General features: G+C 37.3%; 2 long non-coding RNA genes across 7 annotated transcripts in view; one reads left to right on the top strand and one right to left on the bottom strand.

Annotated features, from left to right (window-relative positions):
• The window catches only part of LOC107984006 (uncharacterized), a 52,131-nt gene that overhangs the window by 10,590 nt on the left and 21,045 nt on the right, over positions 1 to 20,496 (bottom strand). The gene's annotated exons all lie outside the window — the stretch shown is intronic.
• Positions 3,584 to 16,411, top strand: LOC107986993 (uncharacterized). Of its 4 annotated transcripts, XR_007061508.1 has the most exons (4): positions 10,844 to 10,940; positions 13,992 to 14,094; positions 16,212 to 16,278; positions 16,375 to 16,411. It is a non-coding gene; the product is annotated as an uncharacterized LOC107986993 (long non-coding RNA). The 4 variants fall into 4 exon arrangements; XR_007061509.1 differs by lacking the exons at positions 10,844 to 10,940; positions 16,212 to 16,278; positions 16,375 to 16,411 and adding exons at positions 3,584 to 3,658; positions 14,727 to 15,488; XR_007061507.1 differs by lacking the exons at positions 10,844 to 10,940; positions 16,212 to 16,278; positions 16,375 to 16,411 and adding exons at positions 3,587 to 3,668; positions 14,727 to 15,488.

The raw sequence follows: 20,496 nt of genomic DNA, 5'->3' as shown, positions 1-20,496 counted from the left end.
TTTTAATTACTGTGTGTCTCTTTATCAAAATAAAATTAATGCTGAAAAGCTATATTAAATGAATTATTTTGAGATGGTCTCTTCCCCCTTCTTCCAGTGAGAGGATATCCACAGATATGTCAGGAGCTTGCTTTACCTAGAAATGTGTTGAGGGCCACAGGTTTGGGTTCACCTAGGAATGTTTAGGGACACCTCCCCAAGTTGTTGTTGAAGAGTGGGGTAAATGTAAGATAGAATTAGGCTCATGGAGGCCAGATGAGAGCATCATATCACCCCAGAAACATAGCATATACCTAGGAGATCTGTTCTCAGTATCAAAGTCTTAAGCACTGTAAGATTGCCTATAGACCAAGACAACAACTATATATATATATAGTTAATAAAATCAGTTAATATATAAACATATATTTATTAACTTATTTTTATTTTTATCTTCAGACAGCATCTTGCTCTGTCACCTAGGCTGGAGTGCAGTAGTGCAATTAAGGCTCACTGCAGCCTTGACCTCTGGGGCTGAAGCTATCCTCCTGCCTCAGTCTCCTAAAGTGCTAGGATGAGAGGTGTGAGTCACCTTGCCAGGCCCAGGGCAATAACTATGCAATGTTTATATAATTTGGAGCAAAACATATTTGAAATATGTGTGCATTGCTCTTTAACCTTTTCTACTGATTTACTTTATTAAATACTGATAGAAACAATATATTTATAAAATATTTATTTTATATATATAATAAGCACATAATGAACACCTGTGTCTCCAGTCTTGGTTTAAGAAATTAAGCCAAAAGTAATCATAAGTGCTTATGATTACTTTTGAAGTCACCTGTACAACTTTTGCTGACTACATCCCCTCCTTCAACACTCTAACGATGGCCACTGTGAGCACTGTGTATATTGAATTGTGTTGTATTTTAATACGGTGTGCACTACTTTGTTTTCCTAGCTGTATGCTATTGCATTTAGTGAGCATAATGAATTATATCAGTATAATTCACTTTTGTCATTTCATTGTTTCAGCTCTTCTGTACTAATTATTGCCAATATATTTCTACTGGCATAAAAACAGACACATAGGACAGTGGAACAGAATAGAGATCGCAGACAAATCTACACATTTACAAACAATTCATCTCTGACAAAGGCATCAAGAACATACACTGGGAAAACAACAGTCTTTTCAATAAATGATCCTGGGAAAACTGAATAACCATATGCAGAAGGATAAAATTAAACCCATCTCACCATACACAAAAATCAAATCAAATAAAAATGGATTAAAGACTTGAATCTGAGACCTGAAACTATGAAGCTAGTAAAAAAAACAAAATAGGAAAGGCCGGGCGCGGTGGCTCTTGTCTGTAATCTGAGCACTTTGGGTGGCCAAGGCGGGCGGATCACAAGGTCAGGAGATCGAGACCACCCTGGCTAACACGGTGAATCTCCATCTCTACTAAAAATACAAAAAACAAAAAAAAAAATTAGCGGGGCATGATGGTGGGCGCCTGTAGTCCCAGCTACTCGGGAGGCTGAGGCAGGAGAATGGCGTGAAAAAAAAAAAGAAAGAAAGAAAGAAAGAAAGCATAGGAGAAATGCTCCAGGACATTAGTCTGGGCAAAGATTTTTTTGCATAAGACCTCGGAAGCACAGGCAACAAAAGCAAAAATAGACAATGGGATTATATCAAACTAAAAAGCCTCAAGCAAAGGAAACAATCAACAAAGTGAAGAGCCAAGCACAGAATGGGACAAAATATTTTCAAACTATCTATCTGACAAAGGATTAACAAGTAGAATATATAAGGAGCTCAAACAACTCAATAATAAACAAACAAAAAATCTGATTGAAAAATGGGCTACTGAAGAGGCTGAGGTAGGAGGATTTCTTTTTTTTTTTTTTTTTTTTTTTTTTTAATGAGATGGAGTCTCGCTGTCGCCCAGGTTGGAGTGCAGTGGCGTGATCTCGGCTCACTGCAGGCTCTGCTCCCCCGGGGTTCACGCCATTCTCCTGCCTCAGCCTCCTGAGTAGCTGGGACTACAGGCGCCCGGCACCAAGCCCGGCTGATTTTTTGTATTTTTAGTAGAGATGGGGTTTCACCGTGTTAGCCAGGATGGTCTCGATCTCCTGACCTCGTGATCCGCCCACCTCTGCCTCCCAAATTGCTGGGAATACAGGCGTGAGCCACCGCGCCCGGTCAGGAGGATTTCTTAATCCCAGGAGTTTGAGGTTACAGTGAGCTATGATTATGCTACTGCCCTTTAGCTTGGGTGACAAAGCAAGACCTTACTTCTCAAAAAAAATAGTTAAAAATATATAAATAAATACAATTTAAAAATGGGCTAAAGATCTGAACAGATATTTTCTCAAAAGAAGACAAACAAATGGCCAATAGGAAGACAAAAAATATTCAGTATCACTAATCGTCAAAGAAATGCAAATCAAAATCACAATGCAATATCATCTCACCTTGGTTGAAATGACTTGTTTCAAAAAGACAGGCAATAACAGATGCTGGCAAGGATGTGGAGAAAGGGAAATACTAGTACACTGTTGGTGGGAATCCACATTAATAAAGCCACTATGGAGAATAGTATGGAGGTTCCTCAAAAAAGTAAAAATAGAACTACCATGTGGTCCAGCAATTTCTTTACTGGATATATATCCAAAATAAAGGAAATTAATGTATCAAAGACATATCTACATGCCGATGTGTACTGCAGCACTATTCACAATAGACAAAATATGGAATCAACGTAAGTGCTCATCAACAAATGAATAGATTTTAAAAGTCATATATATACATAATGCAATACTACTCAGAAACAAAGAAGAATGAAATTCTGTCATTCACAGCAACATAGGTGGCACTGGCCATTTGGTTTAACGTAATGAACATAGGCCATTATGTTAAGTGGAATGAGCCAAGCACAGAAAGGCAAATACCACATGTTGTCACTCATATGTGGGCAGTAAAAAAGTGGATCTCATGAAGATAGAAAGTAAATTGGTGGTTGCTAGAGGCCAGCAAGGGGAGTGGGAAGAGGAGATTAAGAGAAGAAAATATAAATGTATTTATCACCACTAAACTGTCCTCTAAAAATGTACAGATGGTAAATTATATATATATATTTTTTAACTCAATAAAAAGTTAAAAAAATTCTGCTGTGTGTTTATAGGGCACATGTACAAGACTTTCTCTAGGGTTGTATCAGTTTTCTATTCCTGCTGTAACAATTTACCACAAATTCAGTGGCTTAAAAGAACACATTTTTGTAAGATTTGAGTCAGTTTTAAAAAACACACACAGACTTATTGTCTTAGAATTGTTTTGGTTGGAAATCTGGCATGGCTCTCACTGAACTAACATCAAGATGTTGGCAGGCTGCATTTCTTTCTGAAGGCTCTAAAAGAGCATCTGGGTTGTTGGCAGAATTCAGTTCCTTGTGGTTGTAGATCTTCAGTTTCTTCCTGGTTGTAAACTTTGGGTCATTCCCAGCTTCTAAAGGTCACTGGCTTTTCTTGGCTTGTGGCCCCCTACCACTGTTTTAAAAGCCAGTAATAGCAGGCCACATCTTTCTCATACTGCCATCTGTCTGAATCTCAGCATCCAGAAAATATTCTCTGCTCTCAAGGAATTATGAGATTAGACTGGCTCACCAAGGTAATTCAAGGTAATTTCCCCATTTCAATGCCCTTAATGGTAATCACATCTGCCAAGTCTCTTTGAACATGCTAACTTACGTTAGCATGTTCACCTTATCTGAAGACTGGGATGTGGCTGTCTTTGGTGGGGGGCAATTATTCTGCCTAACCCAAAGATACACAACTTGCAGATATACAACTAGTTCATGGAGATGAAACATTTTCAAATCTACAAGAAAATGTTTTCTAAAATGAGCATTGCATATTAGACTTTCACGAGCACTGTATCAGACTTATATTTACTTCATAATATTGCCAATACTGATATCAGATATTTAATTTTCTAGCCAGTTCAGGATAATGTGAATTGTGAATAATATATTTGTTCATCCAGTCAACAAACATTTTTTATCAGATACCACCGATATGCTGGACAGTGTCATGGATCCTAAAAATATAGCTGTTATTATTATTTTTTTAAACAAAATCCCCACTGTGATAAAGCTTTTATTCTTTGGGACAGGCAGACAGTAATCCAGATAAATAAATGCAAGGGCAAATTGGGGGAAAAATTGGAATGGAGAGCTCAGAATCTGGCCCCAGAGAAGGGCAGAGGGAAAGGGGACCCAGTTCAGAATCTCGGTGCGTCCACACCAAACAATTCCATGAGGGCTGAAGAGACAGAGCTGAAAGGCTTGTCTGACATCACAAAAGACAGAAAAGTGAGCCCCATTTTCATCTCTATCCTGACAATGTTCCTGGCTTGATTTCCTCCTTCCAGCAGACACAAGAATCAGGGAGCGCACCCTGATGGTAACATTTTTTTCAGGGGCCTATTTTGGGGATCCTGGTGAGAACCTGAGTCCGTCACTGTCCACGGCAGCCCAGCATGGTCCCCAGTGCGTGGTCCAAGGCCAAGATTCTCTACCTCCATCCTGGAGGCAGAAGAAATGTCTGGGGGAAAATGAGAGGTTTTAGGTGGTTGGCACTGGGTGAGACCAAGGAGAAATTTTAAAGCTGTGTGTCCTGGGGCCGGGGGTGGTGGCTCACGCCTGTAATCCCAGCACTTTGAGAGGCCGAGGCGGGCAGATCACGAGGTCAGGAGATTGAGACCATCCTGGCTAACGGTGAAACCCCGTCTCTACTAAAAATACAAAAAATTAGCCGGGCTTGGTAGCGGGCGCCTGTAGTCCCAGCTATTCGGGAGACTGAGGCAGGAGAATGGCGTGAACCGGGAGGCGCAGCTTGCAGTGAACTAAGATCGCGCCACTGCACTCCAGCCTGGGTGACAGAAAGAGACTCCTTCTCAAAAAAATAAAAATAAAATAAAAATAAAAAATAGAAAAAGCTGTGTGTCCTTTGTTTCTTCATATTTTGCAGATTTTTGATGTTAAAATATTTTCATAGTCAAAAGAGTGTTAATAAAGAATGACTTCTCTGTTATAAAAACCCTAATAGTGAATGTATTTACCAAGAAATTAGATTCTATCTTTGGTTTTTTGTTTTTTGCCCCGTAGTTTTTAAAAAAATAGTTTTATTGTGTGGATATTCTACAGTTAGTGTATCTATTCACCTCTTGATGGACATTTGGTTTGCTTCCAGTTGTTTTTGCTATTTCAAATAAAGTTGCTACGAATGTTTGTCCAATCGTTTGGACATACACTTTCATTTGTCTTGGGCAAATAAGCAGGATTTGAATGACTAGGTGGTGTGATATGTTTAACTTTTTTTTTTTTTTTTTTTTTTGAGACGGAGTCTCGCTCTGTCGCCCAGGCTGGAGTGCAGTGGTGCATCGCGGCTCACTGCAAGCTCCACCTCCCGGGTTCACGCCATTCTCCTGCCTCAGCTTCCGGAGTAGCTGGGATTACAGGTGCTCGCCACCACGCCCGGCTAATTTTTTGTATGTTTAGTAGATATGGGGTTTCACCGTGTTAGCTAGGATGGTCTCGATTTCCTGACCTCGTGATCCGCCCGCCTTGGCCTCCCAAAGTGCTGGGATTACAGGCGTGAGCCACCGCTCCCAGCCAGTTTAACTTTTAAAGAAACTGACAAAGTGGCTGTATTTCCAGCAGCAGTATATGAGCATTCCTGTTCCTTTGTGTTCTCACCAATGTTTAGTATGGTCAGTCTTTTAAATTTTAGCTATTCTAATAGGCAAGTAACAGTATCTCATTGTGGTTTTAATTTACATTTCCCTAATGATGAATGATGTGCTTATGTATCGTCCATCTGTATTCTATGGTGAAATGTCTGTTCAGATCTCTACATTTGTGTTAGACTATTTGTTTTCCTATTATTGAGTCCTGAGAGTTCTTTGCATATTTTGGATAACAAATGTATCTTCACCAGATATAGCTTTTGTAAATTTTTACTCCCAGTCTGTGATTTGTCTTTTTATTCTCTCGATAGTGTTTTTCTTTTTTCTTTCTTTTTTTTTTTTTTTTGACAGAGTCTGGCTCTGTCACCCAGGCTGGATTTCGGTGGCACGATCTCGGCTCACTGCAAGCTCCGCCTCCCGGGTTCACGCCATTCTCCTGCCTCAGCCTCTACGAGTGGCTGGGACTACAGGCGCCCGCCACTACGCCCCGCTAATTTTTTGTATTTTTGGTAGAGAGGGGTTTCATCGTGGTCTAGATCGCCTGACCTCGTGATCCACCCACCTCGGCCTCCCAAAGTGCTGGGATTACAAGCGTTAGCCACCGCACCTGGCCTCTGGACAGTGTTTTTCACAGGTCAGATTAATTTTTATATAAATCATTTATTTTATTTTTATTATGTAAAATTTTATAATTTTTAATTTTATTTTTAATTTCCTTTTTAAAAGTTAAATAAAATTTTAAGTGTAATGATGCAAAATTTTGTTTAAAAGTAAATGTATATAAAAATGTTGATATAGACTAAAAAATTGAATAAGTAAGAAGGTAGTTAGTTGTCACAGTAGGAGTGAAGTGAAAAGCTTCCCCTTTCACCCTCTGAAGATTACCGGAAATGAACTGACCATACACAGATTAATAAAAGAAAGGGTATACAAACTTACATAACCTGCAAAAACATGAGAGCTATACACAAAGTATAAGACTTGAAGATGGCTCAGATCTTAAACGCTCTCCTCATAGGCAATAGATATATAGACCCAGGATGCAGACATTATTTTGTAAATAATTTCCTTTGGAAGCTGGATGGGACAGACAAATTACAGGAAGGTGAGAGATGGAACTGCACAGGAAAAAAGTTTGTCTTTGTCACTTTAATCTTATCATTACTAGAGAATATTTATGAATATTTTAGAATAATATATTTTTAAGCCCAAATCTCACCAAATGTTTTTTCTAAAACAAATACTTTTTGTTGTTGTTTGTTTTTGTTACTGTGTCTCACTCTGTCACCCAGGTATGGAGTGCAGTGGTGCAACCATGGCTCACTGCAGCCTTCACCTCCTGGGCTCAAGTGATTCTCCTACCTCAGCCTTCCAAGTAGCTGGGCTACAGGCATGCACCCTCATGCCCTGGTAATTAAAGAAAAAAAAATTTCGTTAGAGACCAAGTCTCATTATGTCACCCTGGCTAGTCTTGAACTCCTGGAATCAACTGATCCTCATGCCTTGGCTTCCCAAATTATTGGGATTATAGGTGTGAGCCACAGTGACTGACCACATATTTCTATACTTCACTGAGGAAAGGAAGGTGCTAGGAAAATTGGTTAAGAACTATTTTTTAAAAAGCTATTAGTAGTGTTTTATTTTATTTTATTTTTTAATGATTGATTTTTGAGATTGGGATCTCACTATGTTGCCCAGGCTGGTTTCACATTCCCAAGTTTAAGCAATACCCCTGCCTCAGTCTCCCAAGTAGCTGGGATGACAGGTGTGTGTCACCATACCCAGCTCCATTAGTAGCGTTTTTAACAATTGTGGGCCACTGAGTAAGAATAATTTTTTTTAAATTAAAGGTTATTTTTTAAAAAGCACATTTGTAGAAAATTACTAGCATAATCTGCCTAAAATAAATATACATATTGAAAAAATCTTTGCTCCGAACAAAAAGAAATATATTCACCACACATACATACATATACACACACACACATGCACACACGCACACACACACACACACACACACATTATGGAAGATTTCAAGACCAGGCAATAATTTCCACTCAATCCAAAAACAATGCAATCCCAGAGCTGAATATTTAGGTGAAAATATATCAGGAATGGGAGGCATTCAGGTTTAATTTTCATGTTTTGGTAGAGTTAGGATGTGAGTTTTCATTTAAAAATATTCTTTATTTTTTTTGCTACTATTGTGGTTTCTGTATTGTTACTATACAATCTGTAAACTAAATAGTAAAGGAGAGAAAAGTGATTTTCAAAGAAGCTGGCTTGGGAACAGGTACTATTCTGGGAAGATGAAAGGTTTCACTTAATGACTGGTACCTGTGCCACTCTGGTTATTTTAACTGTTAACCTTTTAGCAAGAGGTTTTTCTTTTAAAAGACATCCTTTAATATTTGGGAAGCTAGTGCAATAGTACACATTGAGGCACACATACCACATGCCAAATATTTAAAAGGCACATTTCTAGCTAACCACTGTACATACATATATTTTTTCTTATTTTCTGATTTTAGTTTTTTTCCTTGTCAACAATTTATGTCCACACATATCTTCTATCATCCCACTTTGACAAGTAATATTATACCTTCAAAATGATGTGGAAGACTAGATTGGAATTTAGAACCGTAGAACCTTGTAATTGTACAGGCAAGTTTCTTCCTGGGAAAAAATAAAACAGGAAGAAAAGGCTGGGCAGCCTCTGGTTCAGGAAGGAAATTCAGGAGTCCCTTATAGCAGCATCTCTAGTACTTGGGAACCGAACAGACTTCTCGGCCTGTGAGGCTGGAATGGGCCCTTCTGGAGAACACGACAGAGAAGTTATCTACTGCCTTTGCCCCCAGGGCCCAGGCAACACTTTTACCCTCCATTGTTTCTGAAGTTAAGGGGAGGAGACAATGTTTTGTTTAGTGACCTCGACAGAAAAAGTGTCCTCCTGCAACCACTCATTTGTTACTTTCCTTCTTCCTGAATTGCCTGGACCCACTCCTCCTCCATTTGACTGGCTCTGTGCACTGATCTTATAGTCAGGAGATTTTTGGGAATTGTGGCTTCTAAAAATGTACACCCGACTCTACCCATAGCTGGCCCTGTGAACCTACACACCTGCTCCACTGTGTATCCTTCTCAAAGAGACACTCTTCCTGCTGAGTCTCTGCCCTCTGCTCCTAGATCCAAATGGCATCTCCTACCCTATCCCTGTATGGTTTAACCTAGGGAAACTCTTTCCCAGAGGAGTCAGGTAAGGAGACAGTGGCTGAGCTTCTTACAGACTTAAAGGAGACATCCTGGAATTTAGGAGTCAGTCCTTCCTTTCTGTAATCCCTGGCAGCTCCTGCTGCTGCTCTAAGTTTAGCTTTGTCTCTCATCCAGCTCAGACTTTTGCTGGTCCTGATGGCCTCTGCTTAGCTGTATTAGTACGCTCTTGCATTCCTATAAAGAAATACATGAGAAATACCTTTAGTTGGCTCACAGTTCCATAGGCTATACAGGAAGCATGGTGGTTTCTGCTTCCGGGGAGGCCTCAGGAAACTTTTACTCAAGGTGCAGGGCAAAAAAAAACAAAAAACAACAAAAAAAAAAACTACCAGCACTGCACTGTGAGGCCCTGATCCCTGAGCTAACTTCATATTATTACCTCTACAGCAAGTGTCCGTGAGAACATAGATATATTTCTTATGTGAGTACACAATTTACAGAAGAGGAACTACCCTCCCAAACCAAAACAAAATGTCATAATTTTAATTTACCAGCAAACCTAGGTTGCTTCTGTGAAATGATCTCATTTGCTGAGTTTTAAAATTGACTAAATTTCCCAATTTCCAAATGAAAATATTTAGTTATCTTGTCTTGCTATGTGTTTTTGGTTAATATGATGATTAATTTTTGGTCTATTACTTAATATATTCCATGATTGTTGATATGGATTATAAGGACTCACAAAATAGTTTTCAGATGTCTTTAAATTTTTTACTTAGTGTAGATCCTATAAATGGATTAGGAGTATTCTATTAACTCCCATGTATTCAGAAATCGAATTGGAGTGGTAAATTCTGTTTGAAGTAACAAGGGATATCAAAGGAAAAAAATAATTTTGCGACTATGTCTTCTATACGTAAATTTTTCAGGCATCTTTATCAATGGCTTATACTAAAGACATTTTCTGGATCATGGGTGACACACAGAAGACCTGTGGATAAGTGGCATTGTGTACACTACTGCATTTTATCATCTGGTTCATTTTTCAACTTTTATTTCTCTTAAGGATGTTTTATTAACTGGTGCATCACCAGGTTACCAGTCTCTGGAACACTAAACTTACCAGAAAATACTTGTTGATTGAATTAACAAGAAAACAACATTAGAAAACAGTGGTGGCTTGTTTTTGTCCATTGCAGTATCTTGGAGAGTAAAGCCTAACTCTTTAATTTTGGCCAAAGATATAAAGAAATACCTGAGAAACACCTTTAGTTGGCTCATGGTTCCGTAGGCTATACAGGAAGCATGGTGGTTTCTGCTTCTGGGGAGTCCTCCAACACTTACTGGCAGGGTAATTTTGAAGAAGTCATAATAAGATGGTTGTTACAATTAAATGAAATAATCAAAGTGGAAGAGCTTAGTTAGCTGTCTTCCCTAAATGAATCACTGGCAAGTAAGAGTGTGATTGATTTTCCTACCAGTCAGGACTCACCCCTTGAAGCTATAGGAGGGTAAACCTCTGAAGACCATACAATTTAGGGAACACTAACACCTCAAAAACCTCTGTAAACTTCCTTCCTTCCTTTTCTTCCTTCCTTCCTTCCTTCCTTCCTTCCTTCCTTCCTTCCTCCTTCCCTCCCTCTCTCTCTCTCTTTTTCTTTCTTTGTTCATTTCTGAGACAGAGTCTTGCTCTGTCATTCAGGCTAGAGTGTAGTGGCTGGATTATGGCTCACTGCCGCCTTGACCTCCTAGGCTCAAGTAATCCTCTCACCTCAGCCTCCCTAGTAGCTGGGACTATTGGCATGCTCAGCTAATTTTTTTCTCCTTTTCTTTTTGTAGAGACAGGGTCTCATCATGTTGCCCAGGCTGGTCTTGGACTCCTTGGATCAAGCAATCCTGCTGCCTCAGCCTCCCAAAGTGCTGGATTACAAGCATGAGCCACTGTGCCCAGCCTTAAGTTTTTTTCATACAGGAGGAAAGAATTTGGAAAGTAGGTGTGTGTGTGTGTGTGTGTGTGTGTGTGTGTGTTGGTTAGGGAGCCAACACATTTTTCTGCAAAGCTTGAATTCTATGCCTCAGTTTTTCATTTTTGTTATGTGCAAAATAAAATCGTATCCTGCTATAGATTTAAACCTGTGAGCGAATCCTACTCAAAACCTGATTCAAACTTTGTGTAGATCTTTGCCTCTCTGTGGCATAAGAATAAATTCTTCTGGTTTTCTTCCCTCAGAAAAATGGACTTAGACTTCCCACAAGCCTTCCAGAAAGAACTCACCTGCCTTATCTGCCTGAATTACCTCATAGACCCCATCACTATAGGCTGCGGGCACAGTTTCTGTAGGCCCTGCCTCTGCCTTTGCTGGGAAGAAGCACACACTCCTGCCCTGCATGCAGGGAATTGTCACAGCAGGAAGATTTCAACCAATATTCTTCTGAAGAATCTAGTGTCCATTGCCACAAAAGCCAGTCTCTGGCAATTCCTGAGCTCTAATGAACAAATGTGCGGGATCCACAGGGAGACAAAGATGTTCTGTGATGTGGGCAAGAGCCTGCTCTGTTTTCTGTGTTCTAACTCTCAGGAACACTGGGGCACAGAAACACTGGCTCACTGAAGGGGCAGCTAAGGAACACTGTGTAAGTGATGACTCAGAGCACTTTGAAAGCTGGAGGGCAGCACAGGTAAAGAGATTAGGAGGAAGATGAAGAGCACGAGGATTAATCTATTCTTTACCGAGTGTCATGTACTGCCTAGGTATCAGTGATATAACTATTATCCTGCTATCAAATCTACTGATAAGTGGCTCATTTAACTTATAGGCACTCATCACAATGCAAGAAATCCTCTGACTGCTCCTACCATCATGGCCCCTAGCCATGATATGACTTGTCTCCACACTAGCAGAAACTAATCGAGTCCCTATATTAGGGATAAGTGGCATTTATATATATATATATATATAATTTTTATATATAAATTTTATATGACATATAAAACATAAATATTTATACTATATTATATACATATATACATACATATATATTACATACATATATACATATATATATATATATATATATATATATATATATATATATATATATATATCACAATGCCAAAAATGTTTTGTCTTCGAAATAATCACAGTGCATTTGGAGAGACAAATGCATCTACAACCAGGCGACAACACTGAAAATAAAATTGTAGCAGTTTGAATAGGGGATTAAATGAGTTAATTTTTTCCTGGGGTTCAAAAAAAGAAACAGCAGCAAAAAATGGTACTTAAGATTGAAAGTTGGCCGGGTGCAGCTACTCATGCCTGTAATCTCAACACTTTGGGAGGCCAAGGTGGGCAGATAACCTGAGGTCAGGATTTCGAGACCAGCCTGGCCAACATGGCGAAACAACACCATTACTAAAAATACAAAAATTAGCTGGGCATGGTGGCAGGTGCCTGTAATCCCAGCTACTCGGGAGGCTGAGGCAGGAGAATCTCTTGAACCCAGGAGGCAGAGGTTGCAGTGAGCCAAGATCACGCCATTGCACTGCAGCCTGGGTGACAAAAGCAAAACTCCATCTCAAAAAAAAAAAAAAAAAAAAAGAAAGTTCTGGGTTATGACACAGAACATATGCAACATGAATATGTCATGGTTATGAACATGTAGACTACTCAAGATTGTGTATTTTTAAAATAATAGAATACTAGGTTAAAAAATTAGCATTACAGAATGAAAAATAAGCCACAAATTAGCAGAAGATAATTGTAACACATAAAAACAAAAGATTAAATACAATGGTAATGTAATGATAGCTATTCTTACAAAGTTGTTTCTATGTCTCAGGTACTATTCTGAACAACATACGTGCATCTTGAATGCGTGAAGAATTCCTATATAAGAAAAACACAAACAACAACATTTAAAATGAGCAAAAAACCCGTATAGGAATTTCACAGAAGAGAAAACATAAATGGCCCATAAACACAATAAAAGATGCTCAACTACAATTCTAATCAGGGAAATAAACATTAAAACCCCAAAGAGATACCACTTCATACTCTAGGAAAAACCTAAAAGGCTGTGAATATCTAGTTTCATTGAGGAAGAACAATGGGAAGACTATTCACTGCTGGTGAGGGTGTAGATTGGTACAACTGCCTTGGAGAACAGTATGATGCCACTCAATAGAGCTGAACACACACATGCCCAATGACCAAGCAATTCCACTCCAGGTACATACAGGAAAAATACTCCTGCACAAGTAGAATAGGAGACACTGCATAACAAAGTTCACTACAACATGAGGCTGAGGTGGGAAGATGGCTTGAGACCAGGAGTTCGAGGCTGCACCAGTAGCTGGGACTATAAGCATGTGTCACCGTGCCTGGCTTGTTTTTTGCTGTTGTGGTTGTTGTTAGAGATGAGGTCTTCCTTTATTGAACAAGCTGGTCTCCAACTCCTGGCTTCAAGTGATCTTCCCACTTCTGCCTCCCAAAGTGCTGGGATTACAGGTGTGAGCCACCATGCCCAGCCAAGTTCTGCTTCTTAACCTGAGGTAGATACTTTGATGTTTCATTTTCCTTTATTGTACAGATATACTTTATATTCTCATGTGACACAAGTCAAAATTTAAAAAAACAATTTAATGTTTATTCCCTTTAGATGAATGATGGGCAAATTTACATAATGAATTCATTACTGAAACAATGTATAGATTTCAGACTAGGAAAGTAACTATTTATAAAAGAAAAGCTTAAAACCTGAAACAGAAACAAAATCCTGAAACTGTAAAATTGAGTCAAACTAAAATTTAAAAAACAAAGCAATGATATAAAGTATCATTTGTCCAAATGTGTTCTACAAAATGCTTTTTTCTTAAATATGTCTGAGGAAAAACAGGTTCTAGGAGTAAAATATGTTTGAAAAATGCTGAGTTAAACAACTGAACCTATGAAGGAAGGAATAGAACTTCTCAAGCTCTTGACTCTGGAATCTTTTTTACATGGCAATTAACACCATGCTTCTTCTTGGATTTGTATTTCAGATAAACACAATCTGGGAAACATTTTATAATACAGAGGGCCACACCAGATTGAATATTGCCCCCAGGAATGAAATGAAAACAGGAATGGATTCTCCAGTAAGAGGTACCCAGATATCCTAATCTTCAGTAGCTGACCTAAACCCTGGACAAGTGGGATCAAATCCCATAACCAAACACAACTTTTTAGGAACTAAGTGGATAATCACTCTGTGTTGTATGAACATGTGGGCAGTGTGTTTCCTACACAGCTTAAAAGTGCAACAAAAAAAGATCTAGGTGTCATATAAAGAATTTCTACCACTGTTAGGGTAATGGTGGACTGACAGGCAGAGGGTCTCAGATGTGACTTAAGTAAAGTTCAATAGAAGCTTCCAGCACAGATATTCATGTTTCAAATTGGACCGCTCAGTTAAAAAGTTTTCCCATTAGACTTCCCCTAATCAAATTAGAAATTATCTAATTTTCTAATAAAGTTTTCCCCAGGCACAAGGAATCTGTGAACTGGACCTAAAAAATTCTTCGTAATGTGCTTTTATTACCATAAAAGATGCACATTTATTTTAAAAACTTCTCTACACCACTATCATAAACCTTTGCACACACTTATTTCTTTTGGAAGCTAACTTCTGAGTGGTAATGAAATATATTCTTAAGAAAAAAGTCCGACACAATGCCTTTGCGTCTTAAAATATGTTAAAATATTATTTGAAAAGAGTCAAACATCTGTCTTTTCAGGGTATCACAGGGCGTCAAACTGGAAAATGTGGCACTGCCTGGAGTTTCTACCTGGTGAAGGGTGGCAGACTTTTCTCTTCAGAGGACTCTTGACAGGGTAGCATCCATTATCTTGCCAATTTACTACAACCTAGGCCCAATCCTCAGTCTTATAGGTTCAGAAATTTATTTTTATCAGCATCAACAGGGTAGCTACATTGCTTAGAAGCAAACAAAATTAACCATGCTTCAATAGAAATCAGGATATAGATGTATTAATACAGAATGACAAATATAACTGTGACAGAAATAGGAATGCCTGTTTATGGTCATATACAGCCAATACTTTCATTACAGCCAAACTCATACATGCAGCCAAATAAGAGGCCCCTGGATACACAGGGAATCAGAATAAAAAAAGAAGAACTGAACATTTAATAGTCTTCTTTCATTCAATCAATAATTTTTTTTAATTAAGCAACTACTATGTCCGGGTAACCTTCTAGGTCCTGGGGATACAGAGGTCTCTGCTTACAGAAGTCATATGTAAGTAGCAGGTGAAGAGTATGTGTTTCACAGAAGTTTATTACAATATATTAACAAGAGCAAAAAATTTTGGAAGCAATCTAAATGTTCAATAATAGAGCTCCAATTAAATAACAATAAATCCAAATAATGAAAAATAATGCAGCCCTTTAAGAATAAGCACTTGCAAGCCGTAATTCATGACATGGGAAAATTATCATAATGGAAAAAGAAGCAAGCTATATATAGTGCATGATCCTATACACACACATACATACATACATATTTCCTATCCCTTTATATGCATAAGAAAACAAGCAGGAGGAAAGTCATATCTTTAGTCAAGTCTTGTTTACTAACGTACTATTAATGATTATCTTTTCTTTTTCTTTATACTTTTTGCATTTTTCAATTTCCTAAAATAGCCTTACATGCCTTTTATCACCAGGAGAAAATTACTTCTAAAGTAATTTCAGTCAACATGCATACTAAGAACTCTTCAGATTTATCTGTTAGAAGCTGTGCATGAATGCCAGTCCTTGCATCTGTCTTGGAACTCACAGAGAGCTCTTTTCCCATGGCTTTAAGCAATACTCAAAAAGACTAGCATACCTGAATTTCCTAGTCCTATGTTTTTTTCATCCAACAGCCAGTCTTGTATTTCTAGCTGTTTTCTTAACATTTCAACCAAACCATTTTACAGATAACTCATACAGTCATCCTTTGATATGCATGGGGAATTGGTTCGAGGATCCCCCTTGTATACCAAAATCCATGGATGCTCAAGTTACTGGTATAAAATAGTGTAGTATTTGCATATAACCTACACACATCCTCCTATATACTTTAAATCATCTCTAGATTACTTAATAACAATTAATACGATGTAAATGCTATGTAAATAGTTGGTATACCATGTTGTTTTTTATTTGTATCATTTTTTATCATTGTATTGTTTTTTCTGACAATTTTGTTCCACAGTTGTTTGAATCGGTGGATGCAGAACCCATGAATATGGAGAGTCAATTGCATTTTATTATGCCCAAAGGTAAATGCATAATTTTTCCACACAGCTAATCTTCTAGCAACCCCATTGCTGTCCATGGCAAACAGGCTTAGTTAATCTCGCCCTTTCCCGTTTCAGGTTCATTATACACCATGGAATACTATGCAGCCATAAAAAATGATGAGTTCATGTCCTTACTAGGGACATGGATGAAGCTGGAAACCATCATTCTCAGCAAACTATCGCAAGGACAAAAAACCAAACACCGCATGTTCTCACTCATAGGTGGGAATTGAACAATGAGAACACTTGGACACAGGAAGGGGAACATCACACACCAGGGCCTGTTGTGGGGTGGGGGGAGGGGGGAGAGATAGCATTAGGAGATATGCCTAACATAAATGATGAGTTAATGGGTGCAGCACACCAACATGGCACACGTATACATATGCAACAAACCTGCACATTGTTCATGTGTACCCTAGAATTTAAAGTATAAAAAAAATAAAAAAATAAAGAAAGAAATAGATGTTCTGTAAAAATATACACAATTTTTACAGACAAATACATTTATAAGTTGTTTTTATCTTAAAAATTGGGGATATTTCATATTTATAACTAAATATTGAGCCTTAAGTTTTCTTGGCCATTTCTAGGCTAATAAACTAAGAATCATGTAAACTAAGCCAAAGTAGAATAGACATAAAAGTCCTGAACACTTCAACTTCCTATCCTTCAAGAAGTATACCTCGCAAAGCTCATTTGAGAGAGGAAAAGCTTTCCTCCACCCTCGGTTTTACAGTGCTGAGGCTTCTCATCACATTTCTATGACTTGTAGCTTAAATCTATGTTACATGGTCACTGGCATTGTTAGTGCTTCTCTTTTAACACTGTAGGAATTAATCAATTTGGTGGCATATTTAATTAATTCTATCACTAGAGGATTGTAAAATTACATATATGAATACCTCACTTTAGAGGCCACTTAATTTTTTTCCAAGGGGATATTTGACTATATTTCACTTGTGTCTTATTTAATGATTTTATAATTTAAACCCTAAATTATAAATCTAGAATTTAGAAAGTATATTTCCCCACTGGATTACATTTTTGGAAATATTACTTTATATGTGCACAAATATTACAAAATCACTGTAGACACCTGAAAACTATATTATCTTTTAAAGACAATATTTACATTAAACTGGTATAACAAAATTGTTTGGTGCATTTTTTCCAGTACATTTTGTGTATATTACATGTTTAACCTTTTTTTATTCAGCAAATAATTTTTGAGTATCTACTAAGTGCTAGGTTCTGCATTACTAACTGAATTTAAAGAGTGAAATAACAGACATGGTCTCAGACAATAAAAATTAACATTAGGTCACTTATTTATACATTTTTAAATGGTAATTATGAAAACTTTTTGAGATTTTTAACTAGATAACATTATAATAACGCACTTGATGTTGTTAATATTTGCCAGTGAGCAAAAAAGAAAATAAAAAGATGGTTTTATTCAATATACACTTTAAAATTGCAGAAAATAGTCAAGTTTCTCTGCTTTGCAGTTGAATGTCTATGTGTTTTTCTCTGCAACTTGGCTTTTGTGGAGTGAAACAATTATTCTTCCAGCCCAATGAAGGCAGAAGAGTAATAATAAATCTAATATTTTAAATGCTTATCAAAAGATAGTAAACACATTATTTCAGAATACTGAGTTCAATAAGTTGACCTACAAAAAAAGCCAAACTGACAGTATTACTGAATAAGGAAAGGCCCAAAGAGACAAAATACTTTTTATTTTGTAACCTCGGTATGACACAACTTACCCTAACTATAAAGACCCTAAATTACCAAGATGGGTGCTTATAATATGGAGAGTTACAAAGTCATTTCACTTTTAGCTTTTTTATTTCTCTCAGAATAAAAAGTGTATAAGGAGTTGATAAAGAAGTTGATACTATAAGTTAGTACTACAATGACAGCACTTTTCAAGAAAAGACTTTTTTCTCTCTTACAAATATCATGTTAGCAGTATTTGTTTTCTCCAGAAATAATGAGTAAATAAAAACATAAGTATGTGGGTAATTAGTGTAGTTTCTTAAATAAATGAGTTAGGCAACAGGCTAATAATGTATATTTCACTGGCTTTTCAATGCCAACAATCATATTCTTTATAAGGCACAGAGAAGATTTTTCTAAAGAATAAGTATGTGAACCTGAAAAGTAATCACCACTTGGTAGTGACAATATGGATAGGGTGAAGGGCGTCACCAAGAAGCAATGAAAAGATACATTTGCAGTTAAATTTGAAAACCATGATGTTTAATACATATAGTAATAAAGAATACTTTCTCCTGTCTCAAAATTATTTTAGAATTTAAGATAGAAGCTAAAATACCTAGGGATAATGATATGACTATCAAAAATTAAAAATTAAAGGATATTTTGAGTATTATAAATTAAGAATGAGAACTTATTACCCAATGAACAGGGGATAATTCATTATGCTCCATATCCATTGAATTAAAAGACAGGCCCATTACCTGGATAATTTGAAAGTTTAATTTTATTTAAAAGTCTTGTTTCATTCATCAAGCTAAAGGATTAGCTCCCAGAAATATTCCAGGATTGCATATCCCCAACTCTGTAGGAAGTATAGAAAGAATGTTATAAGGGCCACCATCTAAACATTATTATATAAATAATTTAGTACCATTCCATTTGCCTTTGTAGATTTAAAAATGTAAATGGCTTTCTCATATTAGGAAACATCACTTTTCAAAACCCAGGTAAACACAGTATATTGCAAGAGAATAATTATTTTCTTTATTAAAAAAGAAATACTGGATGCTAAGTCCAAAAGACATAAATTATTTTATACTAATAACTACTAATATTTTATTCATTAAAATATAAAGGTCAAAGATTTCAAAATGATCTTTAAATGATTAATAACATGTTGATCTTTTTCTTCTTTCTGTAAACCTTTTTGAGTCTTAACAATACTAAACTATGCAAGCAATATTAAATAGTATATAAACTTGGATTAAAATATTCAAATTTACTAGAATGTGGACATTGGAAAGAATGAAAATAAACAGAAGCATAAAGCAGCAGATATAAAATTAAGAAAGCAACTAAGAGTGTTTAAAGTGCATATTCATCTGTAGTCTAATGTCTACCATAAACAATGACTCTTCTCAGTAAAACACAAATTGTTCATGAAGGGAAAAAGCATGTTGTATTAGAGCATATTCAACATAATTTTTTTAGTACTAACTTGTGCCTGGAGTATTATTGGTTTTTCTATTATGAACTTATGCACTTGATAATTTTTTTCATCAAAATTGTATGTACAACTCCATTCAAAAGCAGTTTTTGGTCGTTTTTTTTTTTTTTTTTTGAGACAGAGTTTTGCTCTTTTCACCCAGGCTGGAGGGCAATGGTGAGAATTTGGCTCACAGCAACCTAGCAACTTTTGCCTCCCAGGTTCAGGTGATTCTCTTGCCTCAGCCTCTCGAGTGGTTAGGACTACAAGCATGCACCACCATGCCTGGCTAATTTTGTGTTTTTAGTAGAGACATGGTTTTGCCATGTTGACCAGGCTGGTCTTGAACTCCTGACTTGAGGTAATCCGCCCACCTTGGCCTCCCAGAGTGCTGGGTATGGGCAAGAGCCACCATACCTGGCCTCAAAAGCAGTTTTTAAAAGCAAACACAATATAACACCAAAGTTGAAAAATCCATGCTCACCCAAGGATGCCAGGTTTAATAAATTATTGATAGAATACTACATCAAAAATAAGACAATAAACCAAAATATACCATTAAAGATGTATCCACTCCTACAACTAGAGATAACTAATCTATCTGGTAGCAAATGATACTTCAATCAGTTTCAGCATGTCTGAAATCTTTAAGGACAAAAGTGATAAAACATGACTTCATTCTTCATTAGCCTCTTAGAACACTTGAAGGAAAATAATTTCTGAAGCACGAAGAGGTAAAGAGGTGTAATCTTTCAAAAAGATATTCAGTGTTCAAAATCCAAGAGTGCAATATCAGGCTGGGTGCGGTGGCTTATGCCTGTAATCCCAGCACTTTGGGAGGCCATGGTGGGTGGATCACCTGAGGTCAGGAGTTCGAGTCCGGCCTGGACAACAGGGTGAAACTCTGACTGTACTAAAAACACAAAAATTAGCCAGGCATGGTGGTGTGCACCTGTAGTCCTAGCTACTTGGGGGGCTGAGAC

The sequence above is a fragment of the Homo sapiens genome, chromosome 9, assembly GCF_000001405.40.
Source record: "Homo sapiens chromosome 9, GRCh38.p14 Primary Assembly".
In the NCBI taxonomy this organism is placed as follows: Eukaryota; Metazoa; Chordata; class Mammalia; order Primates; family Hominidae; genus Homo; species Homo sapiens.
Note: the sequence above shows the minus strand (reverse complement) of the source record. Positions and strands in the feature narration are given on the sequence as shown.